Source organism: Homo sapiens, chromosome 16, assembly GCF_000001405.40.
Source record: "Homo sapiens chromosome 16, GRCh38.p14 Primary Assembly".
NCBI classification, from domain to species: domain Eukaryota; kingdom Metazoa; phylum Chordata; class Mammalia; order Primates; family Hominidae; genus Homo; species Homo sapiens.
In genome coordinates, this window is record NC_000016.10 from 5,204,570 (window position 1) to 5,226,391 (window position 21,822).

Consider the following 21,822-nt stretch of genomic DNA (forward strand, 5'->3'; position numbering starts at 1 on the left):
TTCTAGATGATTTTGGATGTTCTGTTGGTTTAGGGTAATTCTCATGTGTTTCAGAAATATGTATTCTGTCTTTTCAAGTAAATCATAAATTTACATAGAGATTTGTTTAAAGTTCCTGCATGGTGCCTAACATTGTGTTGGGCATATGGTGAACACTGAATACATTTTCTTGCCGTAGTGGGAAGAGGTCGTGTGTTCCAAATCTGTTTCATTTTGCTCCTGGGCACTCTGCTAGATTATACATCCCAGTCCCCTTGTGTTCAGTCTGGGGCCATGGGATTACATTTTGGCTAGAGGAATATGAGTGAGAAGCAATAAATGCCTATCTTTATACTTGACCATAAAAAAATCTCTCCTGCAGGATCCTGTGCACTTTATTCTTCCCTACCAGCCTCAGAAGCCACGTGCTGAAGACAGTGAAGTTCTGTCTGGGAAGAAGCATCGATCCCTAAATGACTGCATGGAGCAGAGCAGAGGTACCCTGCCCCTCCCCCATGCATACCACCCATGACATCAGCAATCAACAGATCTCGATTAAGTTAGGCCTCTGAAATTTTGGGGTCATTTTTTACAGCATCTTGTTTTTGTTATTCACCCTATTTATTAGTCTGTTTCCACACTGCTAATAAAGACATACCGGAAACTGGGTACTTTATAAAGAAAAAGAGGCTTAGTGGCATTTTCAGGATGCCGCTTGGTTCCACATGCCTAGGGAGGCCTCACCGTCATGGCAGAAGATGAAGGAAGAGCAAAGGGACTTCTTACATGGTGGTGGGTAAGAGAGAAATTGTGCAAAGGACCTCCTCTTTATAAATCTGCCAGACCTTGTGAGATTTATTCACTATCATGAGAACAGCATGGGAAAGACCCGCCCCATGATCCAGTTACCTCTTGCTGAGTCCTTCCCATGACACTTGGGAATTGTGAGAGCTACAAATTGAGATTCTGGCAGGGACACAGCCAACCCATATCACCCTAATACGCATACAAACCCATAGCAGTTGGCGAGCTCTAAGTCTCTACTTCCACTTTCAAATTACACTTTCAAGCCTAAATTTACAAGTATACCCAGTTTGATGTTCCCTTAATATATCATTGAAAGTTCTTTGGACGTAGACAGTAGAAAACTACTTGCATATTTGAAGAAAAAGGGACTTTATTGGAAGGCTGTTGGGGAACTGGCAGAAATAAGGTCCTCCTGAAGAACAAGGCTTGCAGCAGACAGGAGTCAGGTAGTTTCAGAGGACCTTGACAAGTGCAGTGTAGAGGTTAGGTGCAGGAGTCAGCCTGGGTTCATGTCTTTCACTCTACTACATGGGGCAGGCTATTTAACAGCTTTCTGCCTCAGTTTTCTGATCTGTAAAATGGTGATGATATTACTCATCTCAGTATTACTGTGAAGTTTAAATGAGTTGGTATATAAAAAGTACTTGGGGCTGGGCGTGGTGGCTCACATGTATAATTTCAGCACTTTGGGAGGCCGAGGCAGGTGGATTCCTTGAGGCCAGGAGTTTGAGACCAGCCTGGCCAACATGGTAAAAACCTGTCTCTACTAAAAATACAAAAAAAAATTAGCCAGGAGTGGTGGCACGTGCCTGTAATCCCAGCTACTGGGGAGGATGAGGCAGGAGACTCCCTTGAACCTAGGAGGCAGAGGTTGCAGTGAACCGAGATCGCACCACTGCACTCCAGCCTGGGCGACAGAGCGAGACTTTGTCTCAAATAAACAAATAAATAAAAATTAAGAAAAAAGTGCTTCGAAGGGCTTGGTAAACTTCAGCCATTAGCTCACCTACCACTTTAGAAGGACAGACCTTCAGTCACTTCACCCTTGAATCCCTTTGCTCAAGACCAAAGTTCTGAGAGGGAGTCTACTTGGCTGAGTTGTGACCATTTGGGCAATGCAGGAAAGGATGCAGTGGGAGGCGTCTCCAGGGACATCTTTGGCTTCCATCATGGGGTAGCAGATGCCTGGATTATCCGCCCTAACAAATCTGGACAAAGGAAAACGAGGTTCTCTGAGGAGGGAGACATAGAGCCCAAGGAGCTAACAAAAAGACAAATAGTCATTCGGTCTTGTCATTTTCTTTTACACATGTGTGTACATTATCTTATACTTACCACTTTGTTTCCTTTCTCACCTCTAATTGCAACCTGCTGCCAAAAGTTAAAATAAAATGAAAGTATTGAGATAGCTCAGTAACTGACTTTTGGTCAATTGACTTTTCATATAGTGAACAGCTGCCCAAACAATTGCCTCTGTCAGTGTGCAAATTTGCAGCTGTTTGCATGATCACTCCCAGTCCCCCAACACAGGGCTGTGTTGCAGCACAATTTAGTTCAGTGTTTTGCTCTTTGCAACAGGGAGATTCTCATCCATTACAGGTTGCAGTAAAAACAGGGGTACCATAAGCAACCACCGCTTTCCTCAATGATGTGATGAAAGCAAAAGCCAAGTAGCTTGATGTATCCAACTTAAAAATATAAAAAGTTACACCCGTGGGCTGCAGTTGGAGCTATGGCGGCGGCAGCTGCTGCTGGACATAGCCCGGGGTCTGGACCTGGGGACTCCCCAGAAGGGCCCGAGGGGGAGGCTCCGGAGCGTCGGCGGAAGGCACACGGGATGCTTTACTATGGCTTCTCGGAAGGGGAGGCGGCGGGACGCCCCGCGGGGCCCGAACCCCTGGACACGACTGATCTGAACGGGGTGCACTTCGACCCGGAAGTTTACCTAGGCAAGCTGCGTCGAGAGTGCCCTCTGGCCCAGCTGAGGACAGTGAGACAGACATGGTGCGGCAGATCCGGGCTCTAGACAGCGATATGCAGACCCTGGTCTATGAGAACTACAACAAGTTCATCTCAGCCACAGAAATGGACAAACAGCATAAAATTGTATGAGGAATTGCAGGAGACCCAGAATTTCCCAAATAACCTTGTAAAAGAAGAACAAAGTTGGAAGACTCACACACACACACAATATATATATACATATATATATATGTATATATATATACACATATATATATATAAAGTTTTGTTTTCGTTCAGTTGTAAATATTTAGTAATTTCTATTGTGATTTTTCCTTTAACTCATGAAAGGATATTTTTAATTTTCCAAATTAAAGATAGCTTGTGTTTAGCTATCTTCTTTCTGTTGACTTCTAATTTTGTTGCATTATGGTCAGGAAAATGTGGTCTGGACATTGTCAATCGTATAGTGGATTTTGTTGAGACTTCTTTATGGCCTAATATGTGGCTGTGGCCAGTTGTTGTTGTTGTTGTTGTTGTTTTTTGCAAATGTGCCACATGTGGTTAAAAGGAATGTGGATTATTTGTTTTTTTAAGAAGAGTTTTTATTTTTAAATAGATAAGATTCTCAGTGTAACTGGAATCTAGCTTCAATTAGCAATATGCTAGATCTCTCAAACCTTAGGATGTTAGTCAGTGTAACACTAGACAATGCTGCTGAGACGAATAAACCCTGAACTCTCAGTGGGTTGACACCCATAGCATAGTCTGGTGCAGGGCAGGTGTTCTCCTTGGGGGCCCTTGTCCAACAGTGATTCACAGATCCTGGAGGTTTCCATCATTTAATTCTGCCATCTCAGAGTTTTTCACTTGTAGCCATGTGGATGGGAAGAGAGGAAACATAGCTCACACTTGCCTTTGATAACCTTGGCCCTGAAGTGATTTCTTACATTCCTATTGGTGGAAATGCAGTCACATGGTTCTAAACTAACTGCAAGGGATGCTGGGAAATGTAGTCTTTCTGCATGTCCAAGAAGAGGAATGGTGTGAACACAGCATTGTCTTTGACACACTGAGCATGTGCTAAAGAGTTCTTACTCTTATAGGAGGTTTGTCTGTCCTGTGTAACTTTCTCAGTTTTTGCTTAGATAGTTTCAGGCAATGTTGTTTGTTGCATTCAGCTTGATGATGATTATGTCCTCTTGGCAAAGTAGTCAAGATTCCCATCAGTTTGAATGAAAGTGTTTTACAGATAGGTCAGGAAATGTTAATACTTTAAAAGGCCCTTCTATTCCTCCACTTTACAGATAAGAACAACAGAGTCCTAGAGAGAGGAGGTCATGGGTCTCACTCATGAGTGGCAGAATTGAAAGCAACATGGCAGTAACTTTGCCTTTCCTCCATCGTGTTGTTGTCCCTCAGTTTTCACTCTGCTGATTTCTTCACTTGCTCCATACATACCTCCCAGTACCAAGTATATAAGGAGTGATTAATCTGAGCTTCTCCAGAAAGTCCATTCCTGGTAGGCACTGGGAATAAGAAATCTCAGAGTATAAAATAACATCAAGTGGTAGCACTTTTGTGAATGGCTCCCAAATTAGTTCCTTTACCTTTTTTTTTTTTCTTGAAGTGCAGTTGCACAAAACACGCTTAGCCTGAGATGAAGCACATATTAGAGAAAGGTTCTCTCTATAGCATTATCTATTACTCTAATGAGCATGAAAAAGAAGAGAGGGGACATGCTCTCTCTAGCTATTATTACCTCCACTATAGAGTTGACATACACAAGCTCATTATTGCATTATGTTTTATTCAACAAAATAACTTTAATGTTGTAGCTTAAATTGAATTCGCTAAAACATCTTTATCTCCAGCATAATGTGCCTCAAGTGTCTTCTTGGTGCCTGAATTTTCTCCAGAATTATAGTGCTGAAGCTATGAAATGGTGAAATTATATGCAATCTGCAAAACAATGTGGCTATAACGTGGTAATTGGCCTTGCACATAATTAAAGGAACATTTCCTTATCAGAGCTGTTCCATCAGAGACCCAAAGGCTATCGTTGTACAAATCACCCACTTAGGAAAACCTTTATCCCCAGTAGCCTATAAAAATCTGGCTATGCAAACAGATTTGCTTATTCAGTAACATTAATGGCTTCTCATAGTTAAAAAGTCATCAAGGTGATTGACCTATAATCTGTTTCCTCTGTGACCAAGTGTCATTTTTATTTTGACAGTTAGGAGCCTTTTGACTCTTTCACAGCTGGCATGAAGGCACAGGAAAGGAAATCTCAAAAACCAACAACCTGTGTATTCCCAGCCTATTAATCAATAGAAAATCACTTCAACTGGATTAGGGTCTTGTACCTGGCAGAAAGGCTCTTATGGACATTGAAATTGGATTTTTACACTTGATATGACACCTCCTTGAGTCAGATCAGATTCGTGTTTGACAGACTCTTGCCGAAAAATTGCTCCAGGGTCTGTGCAGTAGCTAAAGCCTTTTTGTTGTTGTTGTTGTTGTTTTAAAAGCAGCATTAAATGTTTTCATGAAGACCTTCCCAGCAGTGATTTTATTGGGAATATGGTCTTTAGCTCTGGTCCTGAATAACTCACACTGAGGAAACCTCTAACAAGTGTTTTATTAGAAGATGTCTGATGGATGGTTGGTTTTAATAACAAATCTCTTCCCTTTTTCTGTCCCCTGTGTTCTATTCTCCTTTCTCTACACATTATTCTGGGAGGATTCACCTATTCCCAAAGTCCTTTCCTCTTTATTTTCATTCCAGACCTCTCTGTATAACTCCAGGCTGATGAATCCAACTGCCCACTGGTTATCTCCACTTGGCTGTCTGTCTTGCATTGACCTCATGTTACCTTTCCTCTCCTGATTTCCTCTTCTGCCTGGGCTCACCACATCAGATACACACCACCATCCACCCAGCTTCCAAAACACCTGGGCCTCATCCTGCATTCCTCCCTCTTTCTCAGTCAAGTTAGTCTACTGTCTCCTCTCCATCCTCACTGCCACAGCCTTGGTCCAGCCAACCATCTTCTCTCACTTGGTGTATTGCAGCCTCCTACCTAGTCTACTCACCTCCCACTGTCCTCCAGCCAGACTGCTCTTTTTATAGCACAAAGTGGATCATTACTCCCCTGCCTAAAAACATCTACTGTCTCCCTTAGTCTACAGGATAAACATGACAAAGAGCCTTTAAAATTTGGCTCCAACTTACCTCTACATTAGTCACTTTGTACAATTATATGAACATCTCTCAGCTCCTCACCCTCTCATGTCTCGATTTTTGCACATGCTCTTCCCTCTGCTGGGAATGATCTTCCACACCTCTCCTATCGACCTGGCTAATTCCTACCATTTTCTAGTCTTCAACTTAGGAGTCCTGTGATGGAGAAGGATTTCTGACCACCTGATATAGATTGGATGGCCACCCACCTCCTGGCTTTTTTTTTTTTTTTTTTTTTTTTTTTTTTTTTTTTTTTTGACAGAGTCTCGCTCTGGCCATCCAGGCTGGAGTGCAGTGGTGCGATCTTGGCTCACTGCAATCTCCACCTCCCGGGTTCAAGCAATTCTCCCACCTCAGCCTTCCGAAAATCTGGAATTACAGGTGCCCGCCACCACACGCGGCTAATTTTTTTGTATTTTTATTAAAGACAGGATTTCACCATGTTTACCAGGCTGTTTTCAAACTCCTGGCCTCAAGTGATCCACCCACCTCGGGCTCCCAAAGTGGTGGGATTACAGGCATGAACAACTGCACCTGGCCTATTGGGTGCCCCTTCTATGTGCTCCCATTGCCCCAGGCATGCTGTCACCACAACTTTTACCATTCTGAGTTGAAAATGATTTTTTTTTTTGCTTTTTATTTCTCTCATTAAATGCAAAGCTCATTGAAAAGAGGACGGTGGTTGTTCACTGTTGTACTCCTAACCTTTGACTCAGTGTCCTGAGGTCTGCTCTAGAGCTGTGCACACATGTTCAGACACTGGAGCACATCTTGTCTAGTGCCTCTTTTGAGGTGGCTTGGAGAAAAGTCAGTAGGTACTTCCCCAAGGATGAAACAGAAGTTTCACCTAAATCAGTAGTTCTTCAACTTCAGCCTGCATTGGAATCCTCTGAGAGCTTGTTAAAAATACAGTCTCCTAGAGCCCACTCTTCAAGAGTCAGTGAGTTGCTTCATCATTAAAATACATACAGAATCCAGCCGGTCTTCAGCGCCAGCCTGGTCTGAGCCACTGTGGACTCCCACCTGCAGAATCTCCCTGCTGGTCTCCTTGCTTCTGCTCTTACCTTCTTATCATCCATTCAAGTAGCCAGGGTGATCCTTTTTAAAAAAATTTTTAAATTTTTTTGAGATGAAGTCTCACTCCGTCACCCAGGCTGGAGTGCAGTGGTACTGTCTCAGCTTAGTGCAGTCTCTACCTCCTGGGCTCAAGCCATCCTCCCACCTCAGCCTCCTGGGTGGCTGGGACCACAGGCATACACTGCCACACTTGGCTAATTTTTGTATTTTTTGTGAAGACAGGGTCTTGCTGTGTTGCCCAGGCTAGTCTTGAACTTCTGTATGCGCCCACCTCAGCCTCCTGCATTTTTAGGAAGCCCCTCTTGTAGGGATTTTGATGCAGAGGCCTGGGTGCCTCATGTCTCCTCCCATCTCTCTCTGTCTCTTTCTCTCTCTGTTTGTCTTTCTCTTTGCCTTATAGCTGCCCTGGGGACTAGACTCTGCCTTAGGCATCCCTCTGACTCCTGTTTGCTTTTATCCTGAGGCTGCTTTAAGTTGCACCTTGATCTAAAGCCTTGGGGTTCTGTTCCTATTGCTTGCTTTTGTTGGAAGGGCGGTGCAGCTTCTTGACAAATTGCAAAGGTGCCCACGAGTTTCTAAGTCCCCAAGAACCAAACCAGATGACAAAGAGGGATGCAGCCCACAGCTGGGGAGACAGATTTCATGTCCACACAGAGACTCCAAGATGCTGAACTGAAATCCACCCCGAAACCTGTTTTCTCTCTCATTTAAGTTCAATGTCACCTGGGGGCTTGCAGGGCAGGGCTGGTGACCATTCACAGGGCAAAGATGCTTTGAAATGTCAAGTGAGAATGGTGTGGTGGTTGACAGATGGCACGTCAGAGCATAGATTAACATGGAAAGAGAAACTCACCCCTTGGGGGGAGTGTGTGAGGCTGGCAGCCACACAGAGGGCTTTTCCTGTGAGCTCTCGCATAGATGCAAACAGCCAGGAGGTTTTGCTTTCTGAGCCTGAGTGGAACCATGTTCCTCCCTGCACATTGCCGCTCTGCAGCAACTGTTTATTCCTGTTGCATTGATTAAAAGTGCTTACCGAAGGGGTTTGAGAGGAGTGGTGACAATGTGAGTTATGGCTCTGCTGGCTGCCAGTGGAGCCAGCCACTCTGCACAGCTGTGCAAGGGTGTTTTGAAAAGTGGCTCAGCCGGCCAGGAGTGACTGGGTGTAAATGTTGCTGCCACGTCTTGTAGCCTGATTGGGGCCATATTTGCAGATCCCTTAAACCACTACACTTGTTCAGGCTTAAAAATAAGCTTACTTTTTTTGTTTGCTTGGTTTTGTTTTATGAGACAGAGTCTTGTTCTGTCGCTGGGTTGGAATGCAGTGGCATGATCTCGGCCCACTGCAACCTCTGCCTCCCGGGTTCAAGTGATTCTCCTGCCTCAGGCTCCGGAGTAGCTGGGATTACAGGCGTGCGCCATCACGACCAACTAATTTTTGAATTTTTAGTAGAGACGGGGCTTCACCATGTTGGCCAGGATGGTTCGACCTCTTGATCTCGTGATCTGCCCACCTCCGCCTCCCAAAATGCTGGTATTATAGGTGTGAGCCACCATGCCTGGCCAAACATAAACTTACTTTCTTACCTCTTCTGCTGAACTTTATTTGCTTCTTTTCCCAAACGTCTCTATCCAGAACAGCTTTTAGCAACAAAGTTACCCAATGCCCTTCCCTAGTCTCTCCTTGCAACTGGCTCTCAGTAGGGGGTAGGAGGAAATCCTTGACAGAACCAATTTACATGACTGTTTGGAGGACTCTGGCTAGCCCCAGGAGGTGTTTGCATTTTTAAATTGGTTACTAGTTATCTCAAATGAGTTTCTAATTAGTAGAGCTTTAGGCATTATAAGGAAATGAAGTGAAAATATGTAAATATTGTGGGGGAAGACTTCCTCCACCATGCCTGCTCCACCAGTGGCGTTGACTTTTCCTACGTTCTTTTCTTTGAGTCCAGTGATTTTTCTTTTCTTTTTTTCTTTTTTTTTTTTGAGAAGGAATCTCACTCTGTCACCCAGGCTGGAGTGCAGTGGCGCAGTCTCTGCTCACTGCAACTTCCCCCTCCCGGGTTCAAGCGATTCTCCTGCTTCAGCCTTCCGAGTAGCTGAGACTAAAGACGCGTGCCACCATACCCGGCTAATTTTTTGCATTTTTAATAGAGGCAGGGTTTCACCATGTTAGCCAGGTTGGTCTCGATCTCCTGACCTCATGAATCCAGTGATTTTTCTAAACTTGCAATGGGGTTCCCAGGGGTGGTAATTTTAAAGTGGGGTTTGTAAGTTAGGACAGCCTGGTGAAGTCATACAATATGCTGTTTGCTGAGGCAAACTGTGTTCTCTGAAGATGGCCAAAATATCTCCCATCCTGTGGGCCCTTCTAGAAGCTTGTTTCACCCCCATCAAGAGGCGAAGTACAAATCTCCTCCTCTTGAATCTGAGCAGGATTGAGACTGTTTCCACAAATAGGATGTAGTGGCAGTGAGGGAAGAGAGAGACCCTCTCATATTGTTTTATATCGTTTTATACTCAGTACCTGTTTTAAGAAAAAACAAGGAAATAAAACCAAAGACAGGCAGCCCGGCGCCAGGCCTGAAACCAGGCCTGGGCCTGCCTGGCCTAAACCCAGTAGTTAAAAATCAACTCATAACTTAGAAACCGATGTTATTCACAGATTCTAGACATTTTTTAGAAGAACACTGTGAAACTCCCTGCCCTGTTCTCTCTGACCACTGCTGCATGCAGCCCTTGTCACATACTGCCTGCTTACTCACATTAATCACGACCCTTTCATGTGAAATCTTTAGTGTTGTGAGCCCTTAAAAGGGACAGAAATTGCACTTGGGGAGCTCGGATTTTAAGGCAGTAGCTTGCCAATGCTCCCAGCTGAATAAAGCCCTTCCTTCTACAACTTGGTGTCTGAGAAGTTTGTCTGTGGCTCGTCCTGCTACAGCAGTGGCTCTATGAGACTTCAAGGGCCAGGTTAGAAGACGCTGTGCAACTTTCTCATGGTTCTCTCATTCTTGGCACATAGCCACCATGCTGTGAGGAAGCCCAAGCAGCCCGAGGCAAGACCCCTGTGGAGAGGAACCAAGGCCCTCTGGTGCACAGCCCTGGCTAAGCTTTCAGCTGACACCGGCATCAACTCTTCAGCCGTATGAAAGATTCACCTTGGTTGGGCATGGTGGCTTACACCCTTAATCCCAGTACTTTGGGAGGCCGAGGTTGGTGGATCACTTGAGGTCAGGAGTTCGAGACCAGCCTGGCCAGTATGGTGAAACCCTGTCTCTACAAAAATACAAAAATTAGCCAGGCATGGTGGCAGGCGCCTGTAATCCCAGCTAACCAGGAGGCTGAGGCAAAGGAGTATCTAGTATTGCTTGAACCTGGCAGGTGGAGGCTGCAATGAGCCAAGATCTCTCCACTGCACTGCAGCCTGGGTGACAGAGCAAGATTCCATCTAAAAAAAAAAAAAAAAAAAAAAAAAGATTCACCTAGAGAGTGGTTCCTCCAGGCCCTGGGGAAGACTCCCCATTTGTTGCTGGGAAGAACAGAAATGAACCCTTTCCTTTGAACCCTGCCCAAAATACAGATTTATTAGCAGAACAAATGATGCGTTTTTTAAACCACTAAATTTTGGTTTATTATGCAACAGTAGATGATCAGAACCTCTACTTTGCAGAAAGCCCCTGCTCCACGGAGCAGCTAAGAGGGCTCTGGAGTCAGTATGCTCAGGTTCAAATCCCTTCCTCACCCTGCGTCTTCTAGGTGACTTATGGCAAAATCCTTAAACTCCTTGTTTCTCAGATTCCCACCTGTAAAACAGGGATGATAATAATAGCGTCCACCTCATGGGTGCCATGAAGATATCCACTGGACGGGTGATTGCATCCCATGAATTGTGAATTCCTTTACAAATATTTATGGAATGCCAATTACATGCCAGGCTATGCCAGGTACTGGGGAGTGACAAGTGAGCAAAACAGCCCTGTTCCCTCCCTTCTGGTGCTTACAGTCTAATGGGGGTATAAGGACCTTAAACAAATAGACAAGTCAACATATCATGACCAATTATGATAGCTGTTCAGCGGAAGTGACATTTAGGCTGAGACCTGGATGATGGGTGGGCTTTAGCCCAATGAAAAGACCAGGGAAAAATATATACAAAGGCCCTGAGATATGAAACAGAGGACTTAGATCCCAAATCTGGGCTTCAGGCGATACCTTGCTATCTTGCATCTTTCCTCAAGCATCTGGAAGTGCTTCTTCCTGACACACATCTAAATGGTTTCTGGTTTCTTTTTATAGAATTGCACCAGTGCCCACTGTTCGAAGTATCCTTGGGGCTGCTGGCTCTGAAAACAAAACACAAAGAACAAAAGGAAGTGTATATCAGTCAGGATTCTTGGCTGCAAGCCACAGCAGCTAATCCTATTTATGAAGGGAGGAGGGAGTTTCCTAGAAGGCTTTTGGGGGCTCACAGATGATCAGCTGCAAGATCAGGTTTGAGGAATGGGCAGGAGGAATGTGGGAGGGTTGGAGCCATCTGGTGGGAGCTATCCAGGCAGGGATAGAGCTGACTCCATCTTTGCAACTCTCTTTTGAGACTCAAAACCCTGGTAGCAAACATCTGACTGGCTGAGCCCAGGTCTTTTGTTCCCTCCCGTGGTACCAGGGAAGATCTTGTCCCTTTGGTTTCATGAGTATCTGGGGAGTGGAGCTGGTGGTGGAGAATGGGCTCGGGATTTGCACCCTGCCAAAGACTTCTCCAAGACAGATCAGGTTGCTAATGGGGATGTCAGCCACAGACCAACACATGCCACCCTGGCTTCCTCATGTTCCCCAGCCACCCTGATTTCCTTGAGAGAAGCAGTGACTCCAGAGTTCATTTTTGCTTGTTCTCTGTCTTCTTTTGCCAGTGGGAGGCTCCATCAGGGTCTGAGATCTCTGGCTGTCCTGGACACAAGTGCCAGCCCCATTCCCAGGCAGCGACACTATGCGAAGATGTTCTCACATGACATCAACACTTTGGACTCCATCCTAATTCACTTGTGGCTTTTATAGCCTTGGCTTCCTGACATGAGTGTACAGCATTTGTGGGACCTGCTGCAGCCTCAGGGCTGGCCCTCCTCATTTCTTCTCTGCTCTGTATTTACATTTTGTTGGAATCAAGCCAAAGTATGCTCCCCTTGGTGCCCATTACTCAGACCTTGGCTCCGAACTCAACATGGGCAACTCTGACCCTTTGTCAGTATGTGGGTGGGTTTGGCCATGACGCATTTTTGGCCTCCTTGGGATGGGTTGAAGGGGAAAAGCAGGGAGACTAAGCAGAGTGGGGTTGGAGAAACTGAGTCATCAGCTTCAATGAGCTGGCAGTTAATCCTGGCATTCTGAATTACTGTGCAAGAGCACATGGAGGATGAGAGCAAGCTTGGGGCTGGGGATCATCTCCAAGGTGGTCCAATCTCGTGGGTGGGACCAGCAGCCACAATTTCAGACAGTGCTCATCTCTGATCTTTGGTAGTCTGAGAATTGGGGAAATGTTTCCATCAGGACCTGAAGATGTGGGTGTGGATGACAGAGTCCACTCTCTTGGGGGAAGTCAAGAGAGTCTGGGCAGAGGAACATCCTGGCTTTGGAGTCAGAAAGAACTCATCTGGATTCTGGCTGGGCCGCTGACTTGATAAAAGTGACTTAATTTCTCTGAATCTTAGTTGTATCTGTAATATGGAGATAAAAATAGAATCCATGCTTCACAGGGTTATTGCAAGAATTAGATACTGTGATGCTTGCTGAGCTCTCAGCACAGTTCCTGGCACCCAGAAAGAACTCCAAGCATGAAAGCTATGTTAATAGAGACTGGGGAGGCTGTGGCTTGGTGGCCATGCAGGTGGGTCCCCGGGCTTATCCCAGGACGACTACAAATCATTCTATAGCAGTGAGGTGGGGTCTGGGAACCACACCTGGTACACCTGGGATTGCTTGTCCCCAAAGGTTTGATATCTTCAATGCCTATCCTGAGGCTGCACGTTCCTTCAACAATGGCTGCAATGACATCTCATCTTCACAGGCAGCACCCTCAGGCTCTCCCCATTCTTCTTCGAAATTTCCCTTCTCTGGGATCCTCAGATTATTTCCTTCTGCCTAGAGTCTTTGGACAACAGCCAGCTTGTTTTCCTGCCTCCCAGGAGGCTGCTTCTCTTTAGGTAGCCCATTGGCAATGGCACCCACCATTAGTGCCAAGCCCATGTTTCCAGACACCTAACCCCAGGCAGAACAAGAGGGGTGATCAAGTGCTCCCGATGGCCTGGTTTCCTGGGCTGGGGTTGGCTTAGAGGTAAGAGGAGTGGGGACAGAGGCTTCCGCAGTGCCTGCAACTGGGGAGGATGGGTGGCCGCAGGGCCCAACAGCTTTTCTTCTTGGCTGGTGAGATTCTTGGTTGTTTAGATTGCAGCATGTTCTTTGGAAAGTCTGGTTCTTATAGAGGAAAACTCTAGGAGAGAAGGGTGGTCTGTCAGCTAGGTAGGGTGTAGAGAATCAGTTAAATCAGTTAAAACATTTGAACGTTGACTTCAGTAAAGACCAGAGTGATGAGTGTCTTGTCTTCAACTCTTCTTCCAGGGTTCTGTGTTTAACTCATCGCATCAGAAAAGGGGAATGTGTGGGTTGACATAACTAGACTATGGGGTGGCTTTCTTGTGTCCATTTTCTCTCTCCCTCTCATCTCTATAACCTGGCTTCTTTCCTCCTACTGTAGATGGAATTTTTGTACACGGTGAGAATCTTGGCAGAAATCTCCTGGCCATTTATCCCTATGGCTTTGTTGCCAGAAAGAAAATGGACTTCCCTGTCCTAGCTCTTGTTTGAAAACTCCCAGGAAAGAGTTGTAATTGGCTCTCTTGGGTTACTTCTCTACCCTTAGACTGGGGGTTTGAGACACTACGATGGACTCAACTTGAGTCCTTCTACAGCTAAGAGTGGGGTTGGGTGCATCTGTTACCTGAAGAAGTGAGGGAGTTGGGGGCACAGACACGGCCACCAGAAGAAATCACTGTGAATTGAATCCACAAAATGGTTAATTCTGACAAAGCTATTTCCAATGCGCTATTTTCTTAGCCATTTTAAGTCCTCTTTGGAATAAGCCACGGTACAAAAACATTTATCAATAAAATATATGCTTTTGTTATAGCAGAAATGAGTGTGAAGTTGAAATAAAGAAACCCACCAAGAGTTACCAGCAACCCAGGAGATGACAAATAAATCAGTTTTGCCTGATTGTTCTTGATTGTTTGTAGTTCTGAAGGCATGAGTGAAGATGAGATCAGGGTGAGGGTGAGTTCACAGGCTCTCAGCCTACATAAAATTTGAAAATGGAAGCGCAGTACTTCAAATCACCATGGGAGCCTCTCCACAAACCTTAAATATTCAGAGGATACAGGCAGCATGGTCAATGAGGAAGTGATTCCAAGACCTGGGAAGATCTATGTACCAAATGAGGAGTGTATTAGTCAGGGTTCTTCAGAGAGGCAGAAACCATCATGTATAAATAGACACGCAAGAAGGGACTTACTGGGGAAATTGGCTCATGTGATTACGAAGGCTGAGAAGTCCCACGACAAACTTTCTACAAGCTGGAGACCTTGGGATGTTGGTAGCCTGGCTTGCGTCTAAAGGCCTCAGAACCTTGGAAGACCATGGTGTAACTCTCAGTCCAAGGACAAAAGCCTGAGAATCCAGGGGGCTGCTGGTGTTAAGCCCCAGAGTCCAGAAATCAGGAAGCCTGATGTTCTGATGTCCAAAGGCAGGAGAAGGAGAGTATGTCCCAGCGCCAACAGATAGAGACACATTTGCTTTTTTTCTATTTTTGTTCTGTCAGGGTCCTCAACTGATTGGATGGTACCCACTCACACTGAGAGTGGATGTTCCCTCTTTAGTCCACGCAGACTCTCACAGAAATCTCCTCTGGAAACACCTCCAGAGTGCTCATAGGCACACCCCCTAATAACGCTTTCTCTAGGTATTCCTTAATTCAGTCAAATGGACACCTAAAATGAGCCGTTACAAGGTGTCTTCTTTGGGATGCCTCAAGTTACAAGTATAGTCAAAACATTACATTTGAGATCCTTGCATAGAAATATTTTGGAAATATGTTTATTTTCTTGTCTGGACAATTCTATGTTGCTTTAGAGAATGGCCCGCATGGCTTTTAGCTTAGTGATATACAAGATGGGTCATGTTTGCATAGGGGTGAGGTAGTGCCACATTTTAAATTAACTATTGATTAGTGGGATTTGTGTATTGAGGTTAATCAGGTACAACAAGAACAGACAACTTTACTTGGATTCTTTTAAGCTCAAGTACATAAATTTAATGCAGGGTAACTGTATATTAGAAACAACATTTTTTTTTTTGTCTAGAAGTAATCAATGTAGTCTCAAAGCTGACAATAACAAGCAAAATTCAACCTTCTTCTATTTGGGCGAATATGGTTTTTATTTTCTTCTTAGGTTATGGAGCAAAGGGGACATATTTCTCTTTCTTGGAAAAATCTCACTATATATGGTGAGCAACAGCCCATTACCGTGGAAGGGACAAATGCAGTATTTTCCCAACAAGGAGTCACCTTGCATTCCCAGAGATAGCTGGAGCTGAAGTACAAGGATTTGTCAGGGAAGAAATATTGTTGAGCTTCCTACTAATTCAGGAGTGTCTTCAGGTTAAATTGGAAGGTCTTGTGACAAGGCTGAGAAAAATACACCAAGTGAGAGTTTTTGCTGAAAGATTACTGTTTCTTGATGCCAGATGTATGAAGCTATGATTGCATTTATCATGAGTGTGGGACCAAAGACTGAATTTTAACCACAGGGTTGCTTACCTGGCAGTCTCTCAAGAGATCCTGGAGTTCACATCTTTCTGAAATCAAAACAAACAAATAAACAAACAAATAACTCCCCCACCTGTCCTTTTAGAACTTGGAAATGGTTATAGTTCTTCAAGCCTGGACAGAGAAAAACTGAGGAGAGGGCACCTGAGTGATCAAGGTATTTTTTCTCTTGACACTCATGTAGAAGCTTTGGGGCCTGATAACATCAGTCTTTGTGACCTCTTAGAATCCTTTGTGATTTCCTGGATTCTTCAGATTCTGTTTGTTGACCAAGGGGCACGCACCGTGGTCAGGCCAGCACCTCATCTTTTCTGCAAACCACTTTCTCCTATTTTCAGAACAGTATTATTCAGTTTATGTGGTTCAGGGAGGTCACATGACTCAGCCTTGTCCAATCAGAGGACTCAATCCTGCTGGCCACATTGATTGGTCCAGGAATGGATATATCCTAAGAATGGACCAATCACTACTTTCCATGAGTCTTTTCTCAGAGGTTGTGGGAAAGACACTTTCTCCTAAGCTGGTATTGAGGGCTGTGTGTAGTACACAGGCTTGAGACCGTGAACTGCCGTCTTGTGTCCACCTGGATAAAGCTTGTCTGATAATAAAGCAAAGTGGAGCTGAGGGATAAAGAGAGAGACATACAGAGGACCCTGATGACATTATTTGAACCTAGATGCAGCTAAGTCTGAAGCTAGTTGTCCGGAATTGGTGGGTTCTTGGTCTCACTGACTTCAAGAATGAAGCTGCGGACCCTCACGGTGAGTGTCTCAGTTCTTAAAGAGGGCGTGTCCGCAGTTTGTTCCTTCTGATGTTCGGATGCGTTCAGAGTTTCTTCCTCCTGGTGGGCTCGTGGTCTCGCTGGCTTCAGGAGTGAAGCTGCAGACCTTTGTGGTGAGTGTTACAGCTCATAAAGGGAGTGTGGACCTAAAGAGTGAGCAGCAGCAAGATTTATTGCAAAGAGCCAAAGAACAAAGCTGCCACAGCGTGGAAGGGGACCCCAGCAGGTTGCCACTACTGGCTGGGGCAGCCTGCTTTTATTCCCTTATCTGGCCCCACCCACATCCTGCTGATTGGTCCATTTTACAGAGAGCTGATTGGTTGGTTTTACAGACAGCTGATTGGTCTGCTTTGACAGGGTGCTGATTGGTGCGTTTACAATCCTTTAGCTAGACACAAAAGTTCTCCCCCTCCCTACTAGATTAGCTAGATACAGAGGGTGGACACAAAAGTTCTCCACCTCCCCACTAGATTAGCTAGATACAGAGTGTCGACTGGTGCATTCACAAACCCTGAGCTAGACACAGGGTGCTGACTGGTGTGTTTACAAACCTTGAGCTAGATACAGAGTGCTGATTGGTGTATTTACAATCCCTTAGCTAGACATAAAGGTTCTCCAAGTCCCCACCACACTCAGGAGCCCAGCTGGCTTCACCCAGTGGATTCTGCACCGGGGCCGCAGGTGGAGCTGCCTGCTAGTCCTGTGCCGTGCGCCCGCACTCCTCAGCCCTTGGGTGGTCGATGGGACTGGGCGCCATGGAGCAGGGGGCGGCGCTCGTCGGGGAGGCTCCGGCAGCGCAGGAGCCCACGGCGGGGAGGCTCAGGCATGGTGGGCTGCAGGTCCCGAGCCCTTCCCCGCAGGGAGGCAGCTAAGGCCTGGCGAGAAATCCAGCGCACTAGGACCATCCCCTCAAACTTGCGGGGTACATAAGTTGCCAGTATTTTAATGTAAGCTGGTTTGAATTGTGTTTCTGCTGTTTGCAAGTGAACTTATTGGTTAAATCTGGAAAGCTTCAGTGCATTACTCAATCCAGAGAAAGAGGGTGGTTTCAACACATAAGGCAGAAACATGGCATTGAATTGTTTTCATTAAAACAGAAATACCCAATAGCTCCAGTTAGAACATTTCTCAGCAAAACTAAGAGGGTGGTGGAAGGAGTTTGGTGGAAGCCTTAAAAAGCCCTTATCTTATTGAGGAGAGGCAGGCAGAAGAAGAAGGAATGATAACATTTGGTGAAGGCAGGGGTTGGCATCTTGTTTCCATAGAATGATAGAGAAACATATTTATGAATGCTTGGAAAGGGAAAGTCAATTCCTAAAGACAAGAGGGAGCAAACAAAAGCTTGTTCCAACCAGGGAAAAATGAAAATAGGAAATAAAGGAAAATAAATAACAAGCATGAAGCAGTATCAAAGGATCAAAATCAAGCATATCACTTACACTAAGTAGATTGTACTTTTTTTTTTTTTAATTAAAAGACAGTGACTGTCAGTTGGGATTAAAAAAACAAAATCCAAAATCTGGGTTTCAGTGTCATCTGTAAAATGTAGATATAATGACTGTGGTGAGTATCTGTGTGTGCATGTGTACATATGTGTATGAGTTTATGTAGGAGTACACATATACTTAGAAGCACAAATGAGTCATGCTCTATACAACATTGTGCAGCTCCTTTTTTACAGAAGCCACATGTCCTAAGGATCTCTCTATGCTGGCGCATAAAAGCTTGCTCCATTTTTTAGTAGCTGTGCATATTCTGCTTTATGGCTATACCATAAATTCATTTAGCCGAACTCCCATCAGGGACACTTCGGTTGTTTTGGTTGTTTGCTTTTCTAAACGATGCTGCAATAAAATTTCCTCATGTACCATTTGGGGTCACTCATGCAGTTGTATCTCGAGGATCAGTCCCCAGAAGTGAGATTGCTGGGCAGAGGGTCCGTGCACTTAACATGTTGAAAGATATTACCAAATTAGACAGTTTAACTTGCAAATGTGTCTTATTAGGAGAAATCTGTTAGATTAAGTCCACCTTGTAAATGTTATATTTGAGTAGTCCATTTATTAAATTGATTTGTGTTCTGCTTCTTCCCCAAAAGGGCTCAAGGAAGCTTATAGCAAGAGGCAAATCAAATAAGGCTGAAAATAATAAACATGCGGACAAAAGCCAGTATGGCAACAGTTTTTGAGCACTTACTACATGCCAGACACTGTTGCAAGTGATTTGTATATATAAACTCAACTAAACCGCACAATTCCATTAGGAAGGGATTAGCCTCTCCATTTTGCAGGTGGGGAAACCAAGGCACAGAAGGGTTAGATAACTTGTTCAATGTCACACAGTGAGTGGTGAAGCTGGGAATTGAACTCGGGCAGGCTGGATTCAAAGTCTTCCCTGTTAGCCATTATGATATACTACTTCTCCAAAATCAGGATTCTGATGAGGAGGAAGGATGAAGCTGGACACAGATAGGTGTTTTTTTGTTTGTTTGTTTGTTTGTTTGTTTGTTTTTTTGAGACAGTCTCATGCTGTCATTCAGCCTGGAGTGCAGTGGTGCGATCTCAGCTCACTGCAACCTCTGCCTCCCAGGCTTAAGTGATTCTCGTGTCTCAGCCTCCCAAGTACCTGGGATTACAGGCGCGTGCCACAATGCCCAGCTAATTTTTCTATTTTTAGTAGAGATGGGGTTTTGCCATGTTGCCCAGGCTGGTCTCAAATTCCTGGGCTCAAGTGATCTGCCTGCCTTGGCCTCCCAAAGTGCTGGGATTACAGGCGTGAGCCACCATGTCTGGCCAACAGATAGGTTTTTATTATTGCTGTGATCCAAGTATTCAACCCTTGATTCATTCAACCACCAGTGTATTCATTCAGTCATTCAACAGATGGCTATCAAGGGCAGCCCTTTTCCAAGAACACTGGGATAATAGTGAACAAAAGTCTCTGTGGTCCCCACCTCGACTTGCCTATGGGGGTCAAGTTGCTTCCTGAGTACACTCATCTGGATGCAAGGCTGTCCTTCCTTGGTGAATGGTGGGTCCCTCTGATCAATATGTTCATTCTTGCTGTAGGGAGAGAGGATTCTTTGAGCCCTTGGTCCTCAGCCTCAGCATCACTGACTTGGTGGCCCTCGCCTCATGCATTGTCAGCCAGAACTTTTGGTTTGCTCATTGCAACCCATCAAGATCCCCTGGGACGAGCAGGTGGGGCAAGTTTGCAGACAGCCCTATAAGCCTCATTCCCCAGACACTGGTCTGAGCTGCAACCTCCTCATTGCTGAGGTGTGGTGGCCTCAGCCAAGCTGGCAGGGACCTCAGCTGAGTCCCAGTCGTTCCTGAGGGCAAAGGGGCAGTTTGAGGTTTCTACTTCTCGTCCTCTGGTGGGAAAAACACTGCGTATGGGCTTTTGCCTTGCTTGGACACTCGATCAGCCAGGCTTGGATACATTGAGGTTTCCAGGCTCAGTTTTTTTCGTCTGTAAAATGATAAAAATCAATGCCATTTCCACTTTGTCTCTTTGAAACGCATATGAAGCAAACTTAACAAAACAAAGGAAATGTCCATTCATTCAACATACATTTTTTTTTTTAGTACCTATGTGTACCAGGCACTGAATTCGGCCCTGGGGCTGTCTTGATGAACAGGAGGACCAGGCTGTCAGCTCATGATGTGCACAGGCTGGTGGGGAGTAGAGGTAAATCGAACAGTCACAGCAGAAATAATAACAAACATTTACTGAGGACTCTCTACATGCCAGGTACATTTCGGAACCCTTGACAGGGTGTCAGCTCAGTTAATCCTCACTGCAGCCCCAAGAGGTGGGTGCTTTTATTTTTTTTATTTTTATTTCTTTTTATTTTTTTATGTTTTGAGATGGAGTCTCGCTTTGTCGCCCAGGTTTGAGTGCAGTGGCATGATCTTGGCTCACTGCAAGCTGAGGTGGGTATTTTATAATCCCCATTTTACAGGTGAGTAAACTAAGGCACAGAATGATTAAGTACGTGTCCAAGGTCCTCAGCTAATAAGAGGAGGAGCAGAGGCACCACAGGCCTCTGGCTCCCAAAACTGTGTCTCTGAATAAGACACCATCTTGCCTCTGTACTATAAAGAGATGTAGGAGCGAAAGAACAGGATGGTTTGAGAGAATAATAGTGAGAACCTCGTTTATATTGGAGTGTTTGGGAAACACCCGTAGGAGGAAGTGGAATTGGAAGAGATATGAAGGAGGAGAAGGAGCCAGGCTTACAGACATGGGCGTATGTGTAGGCGTTGGAGGGAGACAGAGGGAACAGGAGTCACAAAGGCCCTGGGGTAGACAAAACGTTGAGGGCATTTGCAGAATGGAAAGAAAACCCTTGTGTTCGGGATCGTTGAATTGGAGGTGCCCTTGAGACTTGGCACAGTGCTTGGAGTGTCGGAAAAGCTCAGTAGAGTTTAGCTGTTCCTGTGTCTTGAGAGAGGAAGAAGCAGGGAAACAGAAGTTTTCAGGGATAACATGCTTCCCTAAGCCTGCAGCTGAGCATAGCAGGTATCGGTATTAACATCAGGTGCAGATGAATCCCATTTGGTCACCTCTGGCCTCCTTCTGCAGGTGTGGGTCCTGCTAGTGTGGGTTCCCTTTGCTGGGGAATCCTTGGGTGGGGGGCTTTGGCTCCCTCCCACCCCTTCGAGGAATTCTCCTTTGTCAAATTCACTGAGTGTGCTTCCTTTTTCTCCATCAGTCTTGCTGTGGGAAGAAGGCAGCTCCAACCTGCTTTCAAAGCTGAGGAAATAAAGCTCTTTTACAATTGGTTCCATTGTAGAGACAGCATTAGACTGATTTATTCAAATCAATTCTGGGTAAAAGCCATAAAAGAGAGCTAAAGAATGAGCTCTGTTTCCCCAGGAAACCCAGCTGATGGATGGGCACCTGAAGTGGGGCGGTGCGTGGCTGGCTTCCGAAAGGAGTGGGGGGCTGCTTGCACTCTGGGCAGGCTCAGACAGTGTTTTCCTGGGGGACTGAGGTTAGACGCGGCCTCCAACGTTCCTTAAGCTCCTGGTGGAGATGAAATGGTCCAGTGTGTCTTTTTGTTTTGGCTCCTGAAGGGCAGGAGGCCTCATC

The 21,822-nt window shown here is 45.3% G+C and overlaps 2 long non-coding RNA genes and 1 pseudogene across 3 annotated transcripts in view, besides 1 other annotated feature; 2 read left to right on the forward strand and 1 right to left on the reverse strand.

Moving 5' to 3' along the window:
* The first annotated feature begins 361 nt into the window (after positions 1–361).
* LOC105371067 (uncharacterized) overlaps positions 362–21,822 on the forward strand; it is a 31,887-nt gene continuing 10,426 nt past the window's right edge. Inside the window, exon 1 of the long non-coding RNA XR_001752067.2 lies at positions 362–476. This is a non-coding gene — a long non-coding RNA (uncharacterized LOC105371067). The remainder of the gene's footprint in view (positions 477–21,822) is intronic.
* Positions 2,519–2,870, forward strand: VPS51P1 (VPS51 pseudogene 1; annotated as a pseudogene).
* Positions 8,419–9,139: an enhancer, noted in NCBI's record as "OCT4-NANOG-H3K4me1 hESC enhancer chr16:5262989-5263709 (GRCh37/hg19 assembly coordinates)". NCBI's record gives its function as "activates a minimal SCP1, AML or CMV promoter by ChIP-STARR-seq in naive H9 embryonic stem cells {active_cell/tissue: H9 hESC(naive)}" and the evidence as "EXISTENCE:reporter gene assay evidence [ECO:0000049][PMID:30033119]".
* Positions 9,026–17,096, reverse strand: LINC02164 (long intergenic non-protein coding RNA 2164). Of its 2 annotated transcripts, none has more exons than XR_933033.2 (3): positions 15,936–17,096; positions 11,285–11,415; positions 9,026–9,596 (listed from the first exon to the last, which is right to left on the reverse strand). It is a non-coding gene; the product is annotated as a long intergenic non-protein coding RNA 2164 (long non-coding RNA). The 2 variants fall into 2 exon arrangements; XR_933032.3 differs by lacking the exon at positions 9,026–9,596 and adding an exon at positions 10,659–10,875 and having other exon boundaries at positions 15,936–16,008.